This window comes from Homo sapiens, chromosome 5 (genome assembly GCF_000001405.40).
Source record: "Homo sapiens chromosome 5, GRCh38.p14 Primary Assembly".
Classification (NCBI taxonomy): Eukaryota; Metazoa; Chordata; class Mammalia; order Primates; family Hominidae; genus Homo; species Homo sapiens.
The window spans coordinates 111,382,793-111,405,060 of record NC_000005.10 but is presented as its reverse complement, the minus strand read 5'-3'; the positions used below and the strand labels follow the sequence as shown (position 1 = coordinate 111,405,060).

At 37.6% G+C, this 22,268-nt stretch overlaps 1 protein-coding gene across 6 annotated transcripts in view; it reads right to left on the bottom strand.

The window, feature by feature from the left end:
- CAMK4 (calcium/calmodulin dependent protein kinase IV) overlaps positions 1-22,268 on the bottom strand; it is a 271,304-nt gene that overhangs the window by 89,826 nt on the left and 159,210 nt on the right. For all 6 annotated transcript variants that reach the window (XR_948303.3, NM_001323375.2, NM_001323374.2 and 3 more), the window contains one exon: positions 10,279-10,351. Coding sequence is in view for 3 of the 6 variants with exons in the window: in NM_001323375.2 (NP_001310304.1) it covers positions 10,279-10,351 (73 nt within the window). In the remaining 3 variants the exon portion in view is untranslated. The remainder of the gene's footprint in view (positions 1-10,278; positions 10,352-22,268) is intronic.

The following is a 22,268-nucleotide window of genomic DNA, read 5'->3' as shown; positions in this document are numbered from 1 at the left end:
TTACCATCTTGTAGCCATGTGTTTATGTGTCTATCCACCCAGTTTATTGGTGAATTTCTTGACCTCTGTATCTCAAAGTCTAGAACAAAGTCTAGAATAAACTAGGGAATCAGTAATTGTTGAATTGAATTGTTGATCTTATCCAACATTAACAAAACCCCCAAACAACAAAAGTCATCTAGACTATAATCATCAAAATAATATTTTATATATGGTGTAAGCTAAGAATAACATAGTAAGTCCCCAACCAACTAAACGAACCTCCTTTTGGCCAAGGAGACCCCAGAAAAACCTTAACAATGGAGTTCTTGGTTATGATGGGACGGGAGGTCAAACATGACTCATTATACTTCCTCCCTTTTGCAGTTTAGACACAACAACTGACCAGCATTCGTGTTAAAATAGAGATCTTAAGACTGACAAAAACAGACTCTTTGTGGCAATGAAATACCAACTTATAAACAGGACCTAAGGCCATGACAGACAAGAGTTAAGTCATGTATCCCCACACTTAAATAATGAACTATGTTCTATCTGCCACAAGGTTTTTCTTTTTCTCTAGCAGCTAAACAAGCATTGACCTTGAGATAAGCAATGTTCAAACAACTGCAGCTCCCCTAGGCACTGATTAACTGACCCTCAGCCCCTGTTTCACCAGCTATAATTACAAGAGACTGATTTCAGTAACTTTCTCCAGATAAGAACTGACCATGGACTGGTTCTAGACAGTTTACAGAGGCTGCACACTTGAGTGTCCTTGTGTCCCAAGTGCCTATTGGCATTTAGGGCCCAATTATAATACATTTAGTTGTTAAGTCTCCATCCCAAAGTGAACATGGGTCACATGTAACATGCATGTTTGTTCAATATGCATATGTTAAGACTGTCTTCATCAATATTCATAACTCCTACTGTACCATGTTAAATATGTATGCTTAGCCAACCCATTCAACATAAAATTCCTACCCCGACCCCTCCTCCTTCAAAATGCCTGCTAATAGGCTCTGCTGCAGGCTGCACTGGCTGCACTTCCCAACCTTTCAAAGGGTCACCTTACAGCCTGTAACCTTTTATAAGAAATAGAGGCTCCTTTCCAAATTTATAGATTGAGTGATTTTTAAGTTAACGAAGACGATCAGAAAATTCCTAGACACATGCTCCAGAATCTATTGTGGCTCACTTGAGAATCAAAAGAGGGAAGTCCATGTAGGCAGAATTCGGTAAAATTTTGATATCATTATCATTAGTGATAATGGTGTGCAGAAACATTTAATGAGAAGGAAATCCCCTCCCTTGCCCAGGAATTGTTTTTAGATCCTCTGTGTCCCAATATTGCACTGTAATTTCAGAATGTTGATTATTATTCTGTTCCAAAATTTCTGATAAAATGTCTATGCTCTGATTGGGCCCCTAGTCTACTTTATTCTATGTCTATAAATCAAAATATTATAACATTAAGAGAACAGCTTGTTATTTCTTCTCTGGGAACTGTGATCTCTCAATTCTTAATATGAATTAAACCACTTTTACTTTTTACAGGTAAAATTATCATTTTAGTGCTTCAACTCTTAAAACTTTGTATTAATTAAAATCTATCCTCCAAAGATCAGTGCTCAAACCTGAGCAGCAAGAAACAAAAGTCTCCAGAGAAAGAAATGAAAATACCATAGGAACTGATAGGTTTCAAACAAACAACAAAAAAACTTGCATTTTCTGTTTTAACCTTTCATTACGTACTTGAACTCTCTGAACCTATTAATTGACAAGAAGTGGATTCAAGCAGGAATGACATTCATAGAAACAAAAAACAAGTGTCAAAAGCAATTTTATTTTCAAAACCCTTAAACTTCATTGTCCCTTCAAATCATACTTAATCCTGATTTAGCAATATGTGGGTGTATGTTTGATATTCAGTGAAAATCAGTTTTTAGAAATTTGTGGGACCAGAATCTTTTTATTTAGAAGTATGCTCTTTCTGTTATGTTTAAATGGATGGAAAATTATACAGCTTGCTCTGACCACAGAAAAGTTGTTAGCATATACTCAAAAAGTTTATTGAAAAAACGGTTCAGTATCTTATTGCTTCAAGTAACAGGGCATATAATTTAAAACCGAAACATTGAGAAACTGTATTTATCCTCCCTGAGATATCAAGAAGTTGGAGAATTCCAATGGTGTCATCTTTCTTCCCTGCCTTCCTCAGGATGACTTATGTTTCTCTTCATAATTACAAGATAGCAAAAGCGGTTCCCAGCATCATATGCAGACCCAACCAGGCCAGTGAAAAGGAGAAATGGCTTTTCTTCCCTTGAGTCTCCTTTACTAAGGGAAAATTTTTCCCAAAACTCATGAGCAAACTGTCCCAAGGAACTCACTGGGCACAGTCAGGTAATATGACCTTGCCCTAGCTGCAAGGGAGGCTAGGAGGATAAGTTCTGGTACTTTCCATCTTCCTACAAGGGAGATCGGCTTTCTGCCAATGAGGAATAAGAGGTCAAAGTGGAAGATTGTTTTAATGTGTCAGATAATGTAAGGTTGAATAATATAATGCCTGTTAAATGGATAAACATCATTAAGCATAACACTCAGTACTAAATACAGACAGTAATTTATTTTTGTGTTACTTCTCTTATTTCGATTTCACTGAACTCTAGAACCATTTCATGCACTTTAGTAGACTATGAACATTTTGGAAGACTCTGAATAAAAGCAGAAACTGATAATTTATTTTTGTTTTTGAATAACATCCTGTACAATTTATTAAGCTATTGTCTCCAAACCTAAAACCCATTCTTCCACTTTATGATGCTGAGATTGAAATTTCAAGCCACATTTTTCCTTCTCCAGTTGGCTCTCCATTTGGATCTGCCACGAGAGGGCATGAGGGAGAGAGAGTGGCAGGCTAGAAGAGAAAGAAGGGATTGCTCCTTCCTGTTTGCTTTCTGACTCTGATTTTCTGCTTGTTATTCCTATGTCTCTCTGGAAGCACTCTTTCATCCTGCAGTGGCAGGTCGTTCCAGGAACAACAGTTGAATCCAGTTTGCAGCTTTTGCAACTCAAACAGAAACAGTCTCAGTGCCTCTTATCAGCAACACCAGCACTGGCTGGCTGGAGCATCATCCTCAGAGACCTGAGGTCCAGCTTCATGGGAAATTCCTCTGAGGTCCGAGCCACCTACACCAGCCAAACAGGGAGCCCTCTTCACAAGTCCATAGAGAACCTCCTTCAATCCTCTATGTTTTAATAATTTTAACCTCTTCATTTTGTTCCCCCAGTCCTAGGGGTAGCTGTTTCCTGAAGTTATCACACGTCCTCCACACACAATAACTTAGCTTAGTGTTCCTCTTTTGCCTTTTCCGTTTTTGAGTATCTAGTCACCAATTCATTATCAATTGATTTCCTATGTAAAAAGCTAAATCTGTTTCTGTTTTAGAGAGTGAGTTACAGGTTAATTTTTTTAATCAAAAGGAGCTTTTGCAATTTCATCTTTTCTTGCCTCTCTATAATAATGTCCATTTTCTATTTTTTTTGATGCTCAGATACCATATTGACTTTTAAAGGGTTAGATTCTTCTGGTTGTAACTCTTCACCACCATCATCACAGTCTTTAACACAAACCTAACCAAAAAGCTATGTTATACAACAGCAAATAGATTTAATAGTTACTCACCCATTTCCTTGTAGTTCCTGAAGAAATGCAGTACTGACAGCCTGGCCTACATAGTGAAATCCTGTCTCTACTAAAAATACAAAAATTAGCCAGGCATGGTGTCGCATGCCTGTAATCCCGGCTACTTGGGAGGCTGAGGCAGGAGAACTGCTTGAACCCAGGAGGCAGAGCTTGCAGTGGGCCAAGATCACACCACTGCACTCCAGCCTGGGCGACAGAGCGAGACTCTGTCTCAAAAAAAGGAAGAGAAGAGAAGAGAGAAGAGCAGAGCAGTACTATGTTCGATATGTACAAATTTCTCTAGGCTCCAAAGTCACACTTTGAAATTAAGACATACAAAAGAGAACTGTAGCTAGAAAAAGGGAAGAAAGGCTGTATCAGTGGGGGATAATGTAGGGGATGATGATGTTTTGGAAACAGAGAAACACTCAGCTGTCAGTGGTGACAAAGAAAGAACTGAAGGTGGTGGCAGCAGAATTAAGTATCAGAGGAGAGGGAATATTCCCTAATTATCCCTACAAGTCCATGGAAAAGGGGTTTGGTATTGTGCTACTACAGGATGACCCTTCCAGAATGTCCAGACTGACCTAGACCATTTAACTTTGGACCACTGGAATTCATTTCAAGAAGAGAGAATACTCAAGAGGACTTAAGGGTCTGCTCTCGAGGACTGACTGAATGAATTCAAATCCAAAGAGGGAAACATCTTTCAAACACACTTTAAAAGCTTTCACAAAAGCTATTTAAAGCCAGAAAAGCAGAAGGAGCAAGGTTAAAGTCAGAGAAATACTGTAAAATATGTGGGGCAAGAATTAGCATGGAATGGGGAGGGAGGGAGGGATTGCAAGATATGTTACGTAAGGAGTATAATTATACTTTCATTATATTTCCCAAGAACTTTTCAATCTTTAAGTTTTCTGCTTCTATGCTTTCAACAACCAGCCTAGATATAAGTTATCTAGAGGAAATGTGAGATGTACCACTGATTACTCTGAGTTCCCACCTGTCCCAATTTTTATAGCTATGTATAGCTGTGTAATTGACAATAAACTATTTCATAAATGCCAGCCATTTCTGGCAAGTTTTAAATTGCTTTGCTTTCTACCTGTGGAATTCTTAGGGAAATTAATTTTTTTTCTTTAAGTTAACCCTTAATTGCAATAATCAGAGAAAATCTGATTTTTATAAAGCTTCTTTTAAGGAACATTTGATTTGAATGTGTTAGCTCCTAAACTGGAACTTAGTGACAAAAAAAAACAAACCCTCAACAATTTCTTTTTAAATGTAGGATTAGCTATACGTTAATTAATTTATCTTTGCAGACTTGAGTCAGAGTTCTAGGAACTCTTATCCTTCTGTGTTATGTGGGGCACCCCTATCTGGAACATCCCTTCTTGGACTCTTTTATTTCTTAACTGGTATAACTCCAACAGGTGGAAAATTCTGATGCTGAGAACATCCATTTTTCACCAATTGAATAAGAGAGTTTCCCAGTCAGCTACATGAGGTATTACTATATTGAGGCATACCCACTGTAATAAGCCTCCTAAAGAATCAAGAGCTGATCTGAACGGACAGAGGTAAAGAAAGAACATACCGAGGAAGGTGAGTTTTGAATGACAGGAAAGAATGAAACAGTAGTAAGGAAATAAAAAGAATCTCATTCACAAAAGTAAGTTATAAAGCTTTGTCTCCTATGAAATTAGTAGAAAAATAACAGTAAAGATGTTTAGTACATGGCTCGTTATCCAGAAAGAAAAAATACAGAATGATGGCTCTTTCTTCATGTTTTCATCAATTTCCATTTACTTATTCAGTAAGTGTTTATTGAGCTCCTACTTTGTCATGTACTGTTTTGGACGCTGGGAATATAAAGGTGAACAGCACAAAGTTCCTACTTTTATGGAGAGATAATAAACACAAAACAGACAAAATACTGTTCAATTTTAAATAATTATAAGTGCAAAAAGACATACCACATGGTAATAGAAACTAAGATGGCTTGGAGAGGTAGTGGTGGTTATTATTATAGGTAGAGTGGTCAGGGAAGGTCCCCCTGGAGAAGTCACACTTCAGCAGAGACCTGAAAGAAGTAGAGAAATGAGCCATAGAAAGACATGAAGAGCTCCCCAGGCAGGAAATGACAACTACTCTGAGATGGGAATTAACTGAGACCTTTCTAAGGGTCGGAAAACAAGGCCAGTGTAGCTCAAGTGTAGTGTAGTCAGTGATGTTGGGGTGATGAGAAGGAACCTGAATATGCAGGACATCCTACGATATGTTAAGGCATTTTGATTTTTTTTTTTACTTTCAATGTGATGCCACTGCTGCTATAAGCATGGAAATGATATAATTGATGTATGATTTAAATAATAACTGGCTAATGTGAGGGGAATGGAGTGGAAGTAGGTTTCATAGCAGTCTGAGTGAGAGATTATGCAGACTGAAACTAGGGCAATGGGTTAGTGCAGATGAAGAAAAATTGTCAAATTTGGGTTATAATTTGGAGATAGGCTGACTGGACCTGTTGATTATTATTTGGGATTATTTGGACGTGAGGTGAATTCTAGGTTTTAGCAGACAATTGCTGAATGGTAGTGCCATTTACCAAGATGAAGAAGATGGAGGGAACCTTATAAGAGTTTTTTGCTGGTATCAGTGAATGAGAGAATCAGGAATATACACCTACTGAAAACAGCTTGAATTACAAAGACGGAAATGTGGGAATGTGAGGAGTGACTAAATTTGGTAATAGAAAAGTTAATTCCTACATGATAAACAAGTAGGGCTTCCGCCGAAATGAAATCATATTCCAAGTAAAATCATGGTTTTCTGACAAACAACAGACTGTCATTCAAAACCGCACCTAGGATGCAATGATACTTTAGGAATTGAGAGAAACATGAAGAAACAGTAAAAGCAAAAAAACCACCAGAACAGATAGTAGAAAAAGGTATGCCTTTTGGTGTGGCAGCCTAGTTCAAAAGAAACTATTGTCTTTCCCTTAGAACAACCCCCCTTATCCCCAGTCCTGGCCAGCCACATTTATACTGCACAATTCACACCCCATCCACAGCTGACTGGACTAGGGAAGGAAGCCTGAGTCAAGTTGAGCCACATGTGGCTTCTGTTCTGAATTTTGAAATTAAGATCAAACGATATTTGTGTTCATTTTGAGTCAGATTTAGGTTTTTACTTTAATATGCTAATGCAAGATGGTTAAGTTAACCGTATGTCACTTTGTGGATCTAAGAAGTAGAGACTATTGGTTGGAAGAGAGCAGAGGGAAGCAGGTGATGAGAAAAAAGCAGCAGTGGGGGAAGAGTTCTGCCCAGTGTCCAGGCTGCTGGCTGTCTTTACACACCTCTGTAGCCTTACAGTACACTCTTCCTGATATATGCATTCTGTTACTCGCATATAGATAAGCAAATAGAGATCACTCAGAACAATTATTTTGAAGATTACTTCATTTTGATATAACGTTTTGTCAGTAGAACAACATAAAAAGAGGAGGGCGGTAGACTGAGGGGCACATGTCCCTCTCCCCTCATTGTCACATTCTCTACCCACTGTCACATGTGATATCAGAGAATAATGTGCTACTGTCCCAGAAAGGAAAAAAGAAATCTGTTAGACAACAGTATGTGATAGAACTAGAAACATGAAAAAGTACATGAATCCAGGTGGGTAAACTGCAAACACACACACACACACACACACACACACACACACACACACACAGCATGCTGACTTGAGGATATTACCTGTTATAACCATACAAACATACTAAAATTTCAGCACAATTCCTTTTTAAACTTTCTATTGGTGTAATATATGAATAGAAAAGTACATGTAAGTGTACTGAATTTTTACAAACTGAACTTTTCTGTGCAATCAGCACCTAGATCAATGAGTATAATATTACACAATTGTTTTTGTTTTTTGTACTTAGCTGGGGAGTAAGTGTGTCTGCATACATCTACAACATCTAATAAATCTTTAAATGAATGTGCTGAGTATGAAGTTGGTTACCCTCTTTTCCCTATTTTATGAACATTGCTATGATTTCCGCAAGTTATCTCATTTAATCTTTTCCACAATCCTGTTAGGTTAATTGCTATGCCTATTTTACAAGACTAAATTGAGGCTCAAAGATATTTAGTGACATGTCCAAGTTCACACATCTAAAAACCAAACCTAGCTCTGTCTCACTGCCAAAGTATTCTTAACTGCTGTATCAGCTGCCTGACTGATTCAGGTAAAGTGATAGTGGGCTATGGCCAGCAAGTTTACTTGATTAATTTATTATGTATAATAACAAGAAATGAGGTTTTAAAATGGGTATTTAAGAAAAGTATAAAATTGCCATTATTAAATGGAGAAGTAACAAAATAAAAATAGTGATTGCAAGAGATGATTCTAGACTTATATATTTAGGAATAGGAATTGTGGCTGGGTGCGGTGGCTCACGCCTGTAATTCCAGCACTTTGGGAAGCCAAGGTGGGTGGATTTCCTGAGGTCAGGAGTTCGAGGTCAGCCTGGCTAATGTGGTAAAACCCCATCTCTACTAAAAATACAAAAATTAGCCAGGCGTGGTAGCACACACCTATAGTCCCAGCTACTTGGGAGGCTGAGGCAGGAGAATCACTTCAACCTGGGAGGCAGAGGTTGCAGTGAGCCAAGATCACGTCATTGCACTCCAGCCTGGGTGACAGAGCGAGACTCCATCTCAAAAAAAAAAAAAAAAAAAAAAAAAAAGAATATGAGTTAATGGCAATTAAAGTGCTTCTTCTTTCTTTTTTAAAGCATGCCAGCAACAGTCACAGAATGATGGAGAACAGGATTAAGTTTATGCACATTTGAAGAAAGATTCAACTGAAGTTGGAAAGGTCTATGTAAGATAAGAAAATGGAAGAGTTGAAACCCATTACCTAGTGTGCAAACCTAGGAAACCAGAATTGGTAAATATGTTATGTGTGATGAAAATCTGAAATGGGGTGGCTATTTGGGTACAGTGAGAAGATGAATTTGATATTCAGTATTTATATAATCAGAAGCTGTGTTGGCATCCTCTCCAGGTTTTATTCACTCACATTTCAAACTTTTCATCCCTCACCATAGCAAAAAGATCAAAACACTTTTATGGGGAATAAATAATTTGGAAGGACTGGGCTATAAAGCCAATTAAAATTGGCATTAATAGCTCAATAACAAATTTGGTTCAATTGGCTATTTCTAGAAGCCTTATGCAAAGGTTATTTTTTCCCTTTTCATCATTGGTACAGAGGCTAGTTAGATATCAGAGTCCTCCCTCCTCTCTCCCTCCCTTCCTCTTTTCTTCCCTCCTTCCTGTTTTTGATGTGGGTAAAACTCATAGGACCTGTGCTTCTGTCACTGTGGCTGACTTCTCAAGGTATTGGATAATGATTTTAGTTAAATAACTAACTCCGAATAATAGAGTATATCTTAATTCTGGATATATTTTATAGATTTGTCTCTTTAACTGATCCTGATAAATACCCCTCCCTGGGCCCTGTCTTGAATGTTCAAATAATAATTTGTTCTGGTTTCATATTCAATAAATGAATCACCAAAGTGTTCCAGCACATATTAGACAACATCAAATACATGGGAAGCTTTTAGTCAGTTGAGTCTGATTTATACAGGCAAATATTACCTGCTTAATGCAATCCAAAAAAGCTTCTCAACAGTATATATTTTTGTAAATGTGTATGTATTTATTTCCACCATTAACTTACAAAACTTGTGTTCCAATTTAAAATATTAACTTATGTTTCTTCCTTAAAAAAACTGATACATTCTTTCTTTCCAATTAACTCATTTCTTTTCTGGAAAGAAAAGTCAATAATCTCTATGCTCCAAGGTTTACATCACATTCAACCCTCTTCCACATCTCTACCAAATTAAAAAAAAAAAAGCAATGAACAAACAAACTCAAGAAATGGGAAAGAAAGAGTTAAAGAACAAATAAAGGCACCAAAATCTCATTTGGTCTCACAATAATAGAATGGAAATTAATTTAACACACTTATGGCATTATATAGAGGATTGCATCTTTCAGACTTTGAGTCATCAATAGAAAATACAAATTTATTCCATACATTTTCTTTCTTTTCTTTTTTCTTTTTCTTTTTTTTTTTCTTTTTTTTTTTTTTTTGAGACAGGGTCTCTCTCTCTCTCGTCCAGGCTTGAGTACAGTGGCGTGACCTTGGCTCACTGCAACTCCCCACCTCCCAAGTTCAAGCAATTCTTGTGCTTCAGCCCCTGAAGTAGTTGGAATTACAGGTGTGCGTCACCATACCCAGCTAATTTTTTTATTTTTATTAGATATGGCGTTTCACCATGTTGGCAAGGCTGGTCTGGAACTCCTGACCTTAAGTGACCTGCCTGCCTCAGCCTCCCAAAGTGCTGAGATTACAGGCTTGAGCCACCATGCCCACCTTATTCCACACATTTTCTAATAAATATTTCACAACTTTATGCTGTAAAATGTATGGCTTATCACAGATGCGCATTTCTTAAATGATGATTCTGTAAAAGGAAGAGATGACTAAGAGTTACACCATTGCTGTTACTTCATACTTACAGCAACTGCCTCCAGGATTTGTTTAACGGCATCTGCAGCATCTCGCTCACTGTAATATCCCTTTTCCACAATCCTGGAACAAAAAGAAAGGAAATGCTTCTCAGGCACATTCATTCAGAAGAATGGATATTAAAAGAAGTTAAGTAAATTAATGTTAAAGATGGTGCACATAAACAATTGAAACAAGCTACCATACTACCATGGGAAAGATTTCCACAAACTGACACTCTAAAAATCTTTGAGTTTACTTAGGAAAATGAAATACTTTTATTTTTCCTTGGCTTGAACTATCCATTGCATTTGAGGAGAAAACACTTTGTCTGTTTTAAGCTTTGTTTTGTGAATCATTTTAAACATATGCCAGTAGATATTATACAATGAAACACCCCCATGTAATTGTCACATAGCTTTATCTGTAAATTCATGAAGTTTTGTTTTATCTGCTTAATTACTTCTACTCCTTCCTTATTATTTTGAAGCACGCATCAGACATTATATAATTTCATTTATAAATATTTGAGGAGGTTATCTCTAAAAGATAAAGGACCCTCTAAAAATCAGTCATAATTCCAATATCATACCTATAATTAATTTCTTAATATTATCAAATATGCAGTGTTTCAAATTTCTAATTGTCTGAAACATGTTAAATTACTTGTTTGAATAAGTATCCAAATAAGGTCCATGAAACTTGAATGGTTAGCGTATCTCTTATTATTTTTTAACGAGTATTTTCTCCCTCTCTCTCTCTCTTCCCCCCGCCAACCCTCTTTCTCTTTTTCCATCCTTCCCTTTCATCCCTTCTCCATCTCTGTTTCACTTTTGCTGCGTTTCTTTTTGGAAAGCTGGTCACTTGATCTTTAGAGTTTCCCTGCTTGGTAATGTGATTCTTTAAAAAAAAAAAAAAAACACAAAACTTTTAAGTTCAGAGGTACATGGGCAAGTTTGCTACACAAACTTCTGTGATGGGGCTTTGTTGTACAGGTTATTTCATCACCCAGGTATTAAGCCTAGTACCCATAAGTTATTTTTCCTGATCTTCTCTCTCCTTCCTCCCAACCTCCACCCTCTTATAGGCCCCAGTGTGTGTTGTTCCTCTCTGTGTCCATGTATTCTCATCACTTAGTGAGAACATGTGGTATTTGGTTTTCTGTTCCTGCGTTAGTTTGCTAAGGAAAATGGCCTACAGCTCCATCCATGTCCCTTCATAGGACATGATCTCATTTCTTTTTATGGCTACATAGTATTGCATGGTGTATATGTACATTTTCTGTATTTAATCTGAACCTAATCAAGACCCCAGCATTACCTATTAATTAAAAAAAGGGGCAGAGAAATATCTCCAAAGACATCAAGGGGATAGAATCACATTTGATTCTAGAGGATTACATTTCATTCTATACCTTGATGTCTTTGGAGCTATTTCCTGCCCTCTCTACTTTTTATTAATGGATAGCATTAGGGTCTTGATTAGACTCAGGTTGAATTTTTAGCAAATACGTTTTATAGGGAGTATTGTGTATTTTCACAAGAAGTTGCATGTTCAATTATGCTCCATTTCATGTTGACAATAACAGTAATTGATTATCAATGCCTACATCCATCAAGTCATTAGCAGTTTCAAGTTGGTAAAATCTATCATTGCTGCTTCTTTGTTAGCTAAAAATTTTCTAGTAATACAATTCTTATAGGAAAGAGGGGATAAATTATTAGTTTTTCAACTTACCAGTTTTCAAAATAATGAGTTCATTCACCAACATTTTCAGTGACCAGTTAGTGTTTTTGTTCATTTTTTGGTATCATTTTGGAAGTATGGATTTAACCATATTTGATACGTTTCAATCTGCTCTAGCTCTTCCTGGGTCAGTAATAGGCTATGCAAGTTGGCTTTTGAAGTCTTTGGTGGTTATTTTACTATCCAGTATAATATAATACCTGAGACTTATTTTGTACATTTGCTGCCTCAGACCTAGAATAAGTCATTGTCTCCTAGAAGTACACTTTTAGTGGCAGGTAGTATTTTTCTAATTTTACATGTTATTCTTGAATTAAAAAATAAATATATATGTACATATGTTCATATTCCATTTCCTAGACAAACAATATTATCAGGTTAATATGTACAAAATGTTTTATATATGTTTTTACTATGTGGTCCATTTTATGTGCTTTTCCTCTTTAATTTTAATTTTTTTTCCATTTAGGAGTGTTTGTATTTATGTTTTCATGTTTTTAACATTAGTTTCTTCTTTTTTGGTTTGTTCTGTACTCTCAGCAATACTGACATTAACCAGCTGATATGGTTTGGATTTTTTGGATTTGTGTTCCCACCCAAATCTCATGTCAAATTGGAGGAGGGGCCCAGTGGGAGGTGATTGGATCATGGGGGAGGATTTCTCCCTTGCCATTATCATGACTGTGAGTGAGTTGTCATGAGATCTTATAGTTGAAGTGTGTGGCACTTCCCCCTTTGTGCTCTCTCTCTCTCCCGCTCTGCCATGGGAAGATGTGACTTGCTTCCCCTTCACCTTCCGTCATGATAGTTAAGTTTCTTGAGACCTCTGCAGCCATGCAGAACTGGGGGTCAATTAAACCTCTTTTCTTTATAAATCACCCAGTCTCAGGTAGTTCTTTATAGTGTATGAGAACAGACTAATACACTAGCAATCCAGCTAGTATGAACTTACAATACAGATACAATATATAGCTGTCAAAAATTACGAAGAATAAGAACAGCTTGAAAAAGATAAACTTCTTGATTGCTGTATAATTAGCAACAAGTAAAAGAATATTATTTCAAAGTAGCAGGAGGAAAGAGAGCCTCATTATCTTAAGTAGGTGACAATTTTCTTCTGACACATGATGTGATTTTCAAAAAATCTGATGACAACCTGATTTTCTCCAAATAATTGACTTGCTCTTTTTGCATGAATGTGGGCAAAGAATTTTTCTTTTAATTTAAAGTCTTTTAAGACATGTTTTATGAAAAACACGGTAGTTGTTCTGGGTTTAGTTATTCAGATTTGTGGCATAATCTTTCAATTTAGAGTGCTTTCATTATTCTTTTTAAATCTCAGGAATATTTTCTTGAAGTAGAATGTTTTGTGTTTGTTTTCTTCCATTGCCTTGGTTTTCTTCTTTGGGGTGTGCAATTATAGATATGTAAGAATTTTTCTACCTTTGATTTATATTGTTGTCCTACAGTTTTCTTAATTTTAGCTTATTTTGTAACACTGTCTTATTTTCATGTTTTTTTTTTATGGGTGTTCTTCCTGACATGCTTTCACTGCCTAAAGGAACTTTATTCTGCTCCTTATTGTCTGTCCTCTATTGACCTCCAGCTCCATCCACGTCCCATAATCATTCTCTATTGGAACTAAATCAGATACTTTTCTGTTGCCGTCCATTTTTAAGCCAAATTGGTTTACTTAACCTTTTGACAGAGTGATAGTTCAGGATATCTTTTCTAGTTTCATGGCTCTTAAGTTTCTGGTTATGTTCATGAAGCGTTCAAAAATATGCCCTCATTCTTTCTGAGATCTCTTCCCCTCCCCTGGAACTTCATTCCCTTGCCTTTACCGTCTCTACACTGATTAATTTGGATTCTCTTCCTAGCAGTTTTTCCTAAGTGTAGAACCTTTTCCCCAAGGGACTTTAGATTTTTGTTTCAGGAGTTCACAAGGCCTTGACAATGAATTAGCTTTTTAGACCTTACTGCAGGTGCACCCCTTGTACTTTTCAGAAATTTGGATGGTAAAAATCACTCCCAATTTCAGCTTCTCTTTTTGTATTGACCTATCCTTCTTCCAAATAACTTGAAGATTTGAGAGATTTGAGTGTTTGCCTGCTTTGGGGTCTCTCATTTGTCTTCTTGCTTCCCTTGCTTCTTCGTGTACAGGTGATCATTCCACATGGCTCTTCCTGTTGTCATTAGTTGGTCCTCACTCACTTGTATGTTAGGCTTCATGGGGATACCCGGCCACCTGGTTTTGCTGTAGATATTGTCATTGAGTTTTTGATTTTTCAGAACAAGTTGCTGTCTAGTCTTATGAAGAGCTTTTGGAGGACTGAAAAACTACTTTGTTGCTATGTCTAACTTTCCATAATTTCAGGAGAAAAAACATTTCTAATAGCACTGCATAAGATGACTTCAGCTGGCACAAAGTTTGAAAATGGTCAATTCAAAACATAAAGGACAGTTTCAACAATGTTTGTCATTTTAAATAGAAACTTTTCTTAGATGGTACCTCAAATAGCATATTTTTCAGAAAGTACTTTTCTTTGATTTCTGTTTTCTTTAGATATTGTGACAAGAAGTTTTAAGTTCTCAAAGTAGCTGGTATTAAAAGTTGAATTTAAAATCTGTAAAATGTTTCCAAAATAGGGGATGGGGCGGGGGTGAGAAGCAGCAGAACAAAACAGATATGTCAAAAGTATAAAATATATCAAAAAACCTCAATGATTATAGTTTTTAAAATTCAGAAACAATATATTGAGGCAAAAATTTCAATTACCTCATTTTCCTTATTTAGTTATTTAGAACACTGGCAAGCAATTCAAATTCATCCTCTTTTTATTTTTGGGATACTTTACCAGCACTAGGGTCAAATGAAAGGAGAAAATAGATTACAATATCTAGGGAATGATTATTCATTTGTTCTTGAATATCATTTTCTTATGATATTTACTTACAAACCTATGAAATTTTCCAATTCATGATTAGGTTAAATGGTCTACTTATAAAAATTTAATTGACATGCTTCATGGGACTATACTTTCTGAACATTTTAAGTATGAGGGAAGGGGAAAAGAAGTACTACTGTGACAGAGAAAGTTCAGGACTTTGGCTACCATGACATCATTCTCTGCATTTTACTCTAAACGTGGATTTTGTGGTATCTCTATCATCCAGCACAAATGTAATTAGTGTCTCCTCTGTGCTCTGTACCTATAGCCTCAGGAGCTTGGCTTTCTCCAGTTTTGTTAAAAGAGGGGAGTTGTTACAAAGATGATGGAGAAGAATAGCTGTTAAATTTCTTTGCAACCTTATATTATCTCCAGAAGGGAATAAAATCAATTACCTTCTGGCCTACAACAAACAGTGTGGATTTTCCCCATAGTCACTCACCCAGGCTAGAGCTTTACCACAGCTGCTTTGCAGTACTTTTCCAGAGGGCACTACTCATGCAAATGGCACTCCTTGTGGTTGAAGAGAGCCAACTTCCACAACCATGAGCTGTCTCCCTTAGGTGTCTATTAAAGACACAGTTCTTAGAGGCATCATCACTCTTCATAAAGTAGGTGCTTCACCCACTACAATCTCCTCTCTATATTTTGGTTTATTATGTAGTCTCAAGCTTCAGCCTAAATATCTTCTGTATTTTCATTTGGCTCTAAGTTAGGGTTAAGTGCCTACTGTGAGCTAAATGTTTATGTCTCTCCCAAATTCATATGTTGAAACCTAATCACCAATGTGATGTTATTAGGAGGTGGGGCCTTTGGGAGGTGATTCTGTCATGAAGGATGAACCTTCATGAATGGGATTCATGCCTTTATAAAAGACACCCTAGAAAGCTTCTTTGTCCCTTCCACCATGTGCAGACACAGCTAGAAAGTGCCATCCATGAATCAAAAAGCAGCCCCTCAGCAGGCATTGAATCTGCTGACACATTTATCTTGGACTTTCCAGCCTCCAGAACCATGAGAAATAAATTTCTGTTGTTTATAAGCCACTCAGTATAAGAAATTTTGTTACATCAGACTGAAAGGTCTAAGATAGTGCCTGTGTTTCAGAATATGTTCTTGTGGGAATGTCTAGGGCCTGGCTTGATGGAAGAGTGAATTTTCTTGGGAGCTGTGTTCATGTGGGAGGGAGAGAGGAGTAGTAGGTATATGAAGAATAGTTAATGGAAACTTTACTGATTTTCCCCAACATACGTTAAGTTAGTGAAATAATTCATTCTCTTAACCAGAGGATGCATTCCAACAGATGTATCTGCTAATTTATTTATTCAATAAATATTACGGAGAGACTGTTATGTGCTGGCCACTCAGTAGTGAACTGGACATGGCCTCTGCACTCATGGGCTTTCTCTTGGTATAAGTAGACAGACAACATTCAACACAGTGTGCTAAATGATGTGATAGAGTTATTAAATAATGGCCTGAGAGCTCTGAGAAAATGCAGGTAATCTATTCTGGAGGCCATGAAGGGTGAGGAAAGGATTCCAGAAATAGCTATATCTCAGCTCACACCTGAAAGGTGTATAGAAATTTTTCAGATGCAAGGAGGGTGGCAGTTGGGGGTCGGGATAGGTATGGAAGAAGAAAGTGGTGATATTCATCCACATTCATAACTTCTAATGTGAGCCAGGTACTTGCTGGATATAAACAGAATAAGATTTGGGCTCTGCCTGAGATGAGACCACAGATGGTGGAGTAAAGAAAGTTACAAACAAAAAACATTATCATAGATGTAATGTATGTTATGTAAGGTTTGTACAACCAAGGGATTTATTAATTCTGTAGTGAGAACAGCATCCATAGAGTAGATATGTGGGGCAAGGGCACAAAACTCAAGTGCCTCCCCACCTCATTTCAGTGTGAACTCCGCACACTGCATCTTGGCCAACCATCACCCTTCGACCACTTCTATTCCAGGCAGTTTCTGCTAAAAGGAGCTTTGTTCCCAGATGATTCCTTAAACAGATTGTCACAGGGTTAGTTTTCTGAAACTCAGACATCCCATTTTAAATATTTTATAAGTTGAGCTGCCATTCAGGCTATCCATGGCTGACTGAAAAGTTCAATAGCAATGAACTCAAGTCATAAATGCAGGTTTACAACTTAGAACTATGACTGCAAGTGAAGATGCTAGTGACCAAGCAAAGGAAAATGAAATCTTGCAATTTATTTCTCTTAATTTCAGTTGTATGACATCAGTAGATGTGTTTGTCCAGAACCTTCTGCAGGGCACTGTGGTAAAATTATTAGCCTTCTCATTAGATTGTTGCTTGGATCACCCACAGAGCCTAGCTGCAAAACTTGCCCATAGTAAGTAAATATTTATGGAATCAATACCAATTGCCAAGTGAATGGACGTCAGAAAAATTTCAGATTGAGGACATTTGGACAATACTTTTGCCTATGTTCACTATCATGGGGAACAAAAGCACTGGACTCAGAAGTGATTCCCATCACAAGTACATTGGCCATGACTCCAGAGGAAGAACAGCTGTGTGGATGCTTCCCAGAGGACAATGCAATAAGTGAAAAGATTACTGCTGGCTTTAGGAAGAAACTCAGAGTTACATAGTTTTAGATATTGCTGGAATAACATGAATCTTTTTAGAAACTTATTTTAGACAAAATCAAAGTAATTTAAATTCCTTAAAATGGGGTATTTGTTTCATGAGGTGACACGTAATTTCTTTATACAATTTAGCTGGCATCTCAAAAAATTTGCCAATGAAATTGAACCATGGGTAGAGACTCAAGGTTTTATAGCTTTATACGAAATATACTCATGACTCTGAGTTTTAGAAGCAACGAAATATTTAATAATTGTAGGGGTTTTAAAGCTGTAAAAATAGAGGGATAATTTTGGCTGGTATTTTTGTTTTTTCATATTTAAACATAGTTATTGCTGTATTTCTCTTGAGATTTAGTAAACTAATTTCTGTTTCGTGATTTGAAAAATAATAAGGAAGCAGTTAAGATGCTACCAGCATTTTAAGATAATTGTCACAGGCCCAGGGCCCTGTGGTTTGCCTCTGTGCCACACAGTTTCCCAGACTTCCATTGTGGGCTAGGCCAGAGGGCTCAGAGCTCAAAACAAAATGTCTTCTAGGATTTTAATCACAACACTGACCCAAAAGGCTGCCCTGAGACTCCAGTTCCTACAGGTCCCTCAGCTGCCAGGGGGCCTAGCAGACATCTGGAGATCTGGGAAGGAAGCACGAAGGTGGTACATTTCCCCAAGCTCCTCCACTGAAAGCGTCTGGCTTCAACAGGCTCTCTTACACCACAACTGTGCCTTTTACTTCCACTGCTCGCTGTGCTGGTGCCCGTGCTCTTCTCCTCAGTTGGTGTGTTTTTCTTCCCATCATTTAAAATTTATAGGATGAAAAAATACAGGCAATGCCTATTTCTCTCTATGGAGCTGCTGTAACATATGACTCTGGTGCATTTGCTTCTGTAACACTAATTGCCACAAATTGAATTGAGCTCATCTCCATCCAGGCAGTTAACACGCGCACAGCAGCTGAAGAGCTCTAATCTGATCATATCCTGAGGCCCCAGACTTCCTGGCACATAGATTGGGAGCCCTGCTGCTCTGCCCACCACTCGCAGCTTTTTCTCAAATGGCTGCATAATAACTGTAGATGACTAGGTTTATGTGAGAAAGATAATGGTCTGATGAGAATGTGTACTGAAGGATCAAATGACAGAGAGTAAAAGCCCCAAATAATATAAAGTTTCAGGAACCAAGTCTTAAGGGCTGCCAGTACACCATTATGCTGTTACATACAAAATTATATTAAAATGAAATCTGCTGTACTCTGTGTAAATCTACCACTTCTTTGTAAGTTTCAATCACAGCTTCTCATTTTATTGATGACATCATTGTCTGTTTTGGTGCTTTCTGTAAAAACTTTCTTGCCAAAGAATGTCAAGTTCATATACTTTTCAAAAAAGTAGTTTCAAAGATACTACTAGCACCTGTTACATTCAAATACTAAGAAGAAAGTCAGGGAATTGTGGATCAATGTGGGTGCTGGCCAGGGAGCTGACAAGAGAAAGAGGAGGTCAAATCAAATTGCAAATCTGGGAATGGGCCTAAAAGATTCCCAGTCTACTTCTCTCATACTATAGATAAAAGGCCTGACTCAAAAGATATATATATTGCAGCCGGGCGTGGTGGCTTACACCTGTAATCCCAGCACCTTGGGAGGGCAAGGTAGGTGGATCATGAGGTCAGGAGATCGAGAGTATCCTGGCTAACACAGTGAAACCCCATCTCTACTAAGAAAATATAAAAAATTAGCTGGACCTGGTGGCGTGTGCCTGTAGTCCCAGTTACTGGGGAGGCTAAGGCAGGAAAATGGAGTGAACCCGGGAGGTGGAGTTTGCAGTGAGCCAAGATCACGCCACTGCACTCCAGCCTGGGCGACAGAGGGAGACTCTGTCTCAAAAACAAACACAAACAAAACACACACATATATATATATTGCTCAGGAGCACACTATTCAATCATTCACTTAACAAATATCTAGTCCCTGCTTGCTTTCTACCTAGCCCAGCTTTTAAAATTGAGACTAAGATGCTCATATTTTACCCAACAGTGTACAATTGTGCTTTTGAACATCATTTTGCCACAATAGGCCCTTCCTTCTGGCCTCTGCCTGCTAATTTCCAATTTCTCACATAAGAGTCAGCTCAAAAGATTTTACTCCTTCCTGAAGCAATTTCTGACTTACAAAACCCCCTTGTTTTGTACTCTACACACTGTGTTTATGCCCTAATTATAGCACTTATCATCCCCACATGAATACTTAGAGTTGAATATGGGGCCAATCTCTAACAAACACAAAACATCTGATGATCTCTCTTTTATGTCCTGATTATTATTTTTATTTCTTTTTATTTCCTAGCCCTCATTAAAAAAATTTGTGATATTGTAGTCATTATAATCCCTAATATGCTTTACTTGGAAGGTGATGCTTAAAAAATATTAGCGTCTATGTCACATTTTTACTTTCCCTCTTTAGACTATGAGCTCCTTGAGGGTGGAGACAATATACAGTGGTTAATACATTGGTGGGAAGAGAACAAAGTGGGTGGTAAAGCCAGCATGGTAAGGTGAGGCCAGATTGTAAGTGGGCTTTTTTTTGTCATGTTTAAAAGTATTGACTTTAAGTGAAAGTAGTGAGTAGCTTCCTGGGCTGACCTGATCAAATCTATGCTTAAATACAGATGGATGGAAAGGAGTGAAAGTAATACTCTCCAGGAGTCTACTGCAATGGGAAACAATGCAAAGGTGCAACAGGGCAGAAGCACTGGGAAAGGGAAAAGGGAACAGATTTCAAAGCTGCTCAGAGGAAGAATTATAGGGAATAGAGAAGGAGAATCTAAAGGAAAAGGGAGAAATTCATGTTGATTAGTTTAGTTGGTGAATCAGTTCACAGGGAAGGGGAGTGAGATTGAGAGAGGGATGCTGAGTTCATTTGATTTAGAGGTGCTAATGGGACTTGGTGAGAAGCCTAGTAGACTGCTGAAAATACAGTTTTCATCTTAGCTGATACTGTAGCCACCAGTGTGGCTCAAGCCACAGGTGAGTGTCAAATTCATCTAACAAGAATGTAGAAGAAGTTTAAAGGGAACTTAAGAGGTGGGGAGGGGAAGAGGAACTCAGGAAAGAGATCAAGAGGGAGACGGCTGAAAAGTTGGACGAAAGCCAAGAGAAAAAGAGACGCTGTCCAAAACTCCATGAATGATATGAAGGAGTAAGCCAGTAATATATAATGCTACAGAGACCAGAGTCTCCAAATATGCATAGCCTTCAGCATTAGCAGACCTTCAGTGCTCCTCAAAAGCCCTTTTTCTTGCCCTTGTCTGTTCACACAATCTCACTTAAAATCTTCACCAGTTCCTTCTTCAAGTGCCCTATTCCATTCTTTACCAGTTAATATTAGGAGATCAATTTCCCTTCTTTAACAATACTGGAAAATTAGAGGCTATCAAGACCGAACTACCCAAACGTCTTCTAACCCACCACACTTCAATTTCCAGACCTAGGAAACCACTGTTTTGCTTCTGTCTATATATTTTCCCCTTCTGGAAATTCCTTATAAAGTCATAGAGTCATAGCATATATAGTCTTCCATGTCTGGCTTCATTCCCTTAGCATAAACTTTTTAAAGTTCATCCATGTTGTAGTGTGTATCAAAGGAACATTCCTTTTCATTGCTGAATGGTTGTGCATTCTCCAGTTGATGACATTTAAATTATCTCCCCTTGGCTGGGCGGGGTGACTCATGCTTGTAATCCCAGCACTTTGGGAGGCCGAGGTGGGTGGATCACGAGGTCAAGAGATCCAGACCATCCTGGCGAACATGGTGAAACCCTGTCTCTACTAAAAATACAAAAAAAAAAAAAAAATTATCTCCCCTCTTGTAACACATCTAATTCCAGGTGTAGGCATCTATCTGGCCCCACTGTACTGCCTCCATGGAACTCAAAGGGCAAGGGGAACTGACAGACTTGCTAATGCCCATAACGTTTGCTGTGCCATGAGTAATAAGGCCCTTTGTCTCTGATTCAGTAATCGTGTGCTTTCCAGCATCCACAAAAGAATAATAGGCTCTTTTATTAGTTTATAAGCAAGGTACAATTACATCTCAGTCCCAACAGTGTCTTCCAACTTATTCCAAAAGTCTTTCTTTTTCAAAATTGCTTTGATTAATCTAGCTCCTTTGACCCTTTGTCTCTTTCTTTCTGCTTCAGAGGAAGAAGAGTTTTTTCTAAAAACCAAATCCGTTTATCTGACTCTAGATCTCATTCCCTTCATGCCTTTTCTAGAATGTTGTTCCAAATTTAGGTCCCTCTCATACAAATCTCTCCTGCTTCTCTTTCTTATGAGCTCCTTCCCATCAGCAAATCAATGTGTTCCTAGACCTACAGCTTAAAATAATAAACTTCCATTTATCCAGTGTGTTCTACTACCTCACCTCTATCTTTCATTTTATGGCCAAGCTTCTAGAAAAAGTAAACTATAAGTCTAGTCCAAATCAAAGTATAAGTTTTCTTTACATATAGCCAGATAAAGCCACATAAAGAGATGTATTTAAAATATCCATGGTTGAAAAGCAACTATATACAAATTAAAGGTCAGCTTAAGCCAACACTCAAGTAGGACAAACATTAGATTACTAATCTCAAGTTTTATTTTTAAGCATAAGAGTTCTGGCATTTGCAGCAGCATGACATGG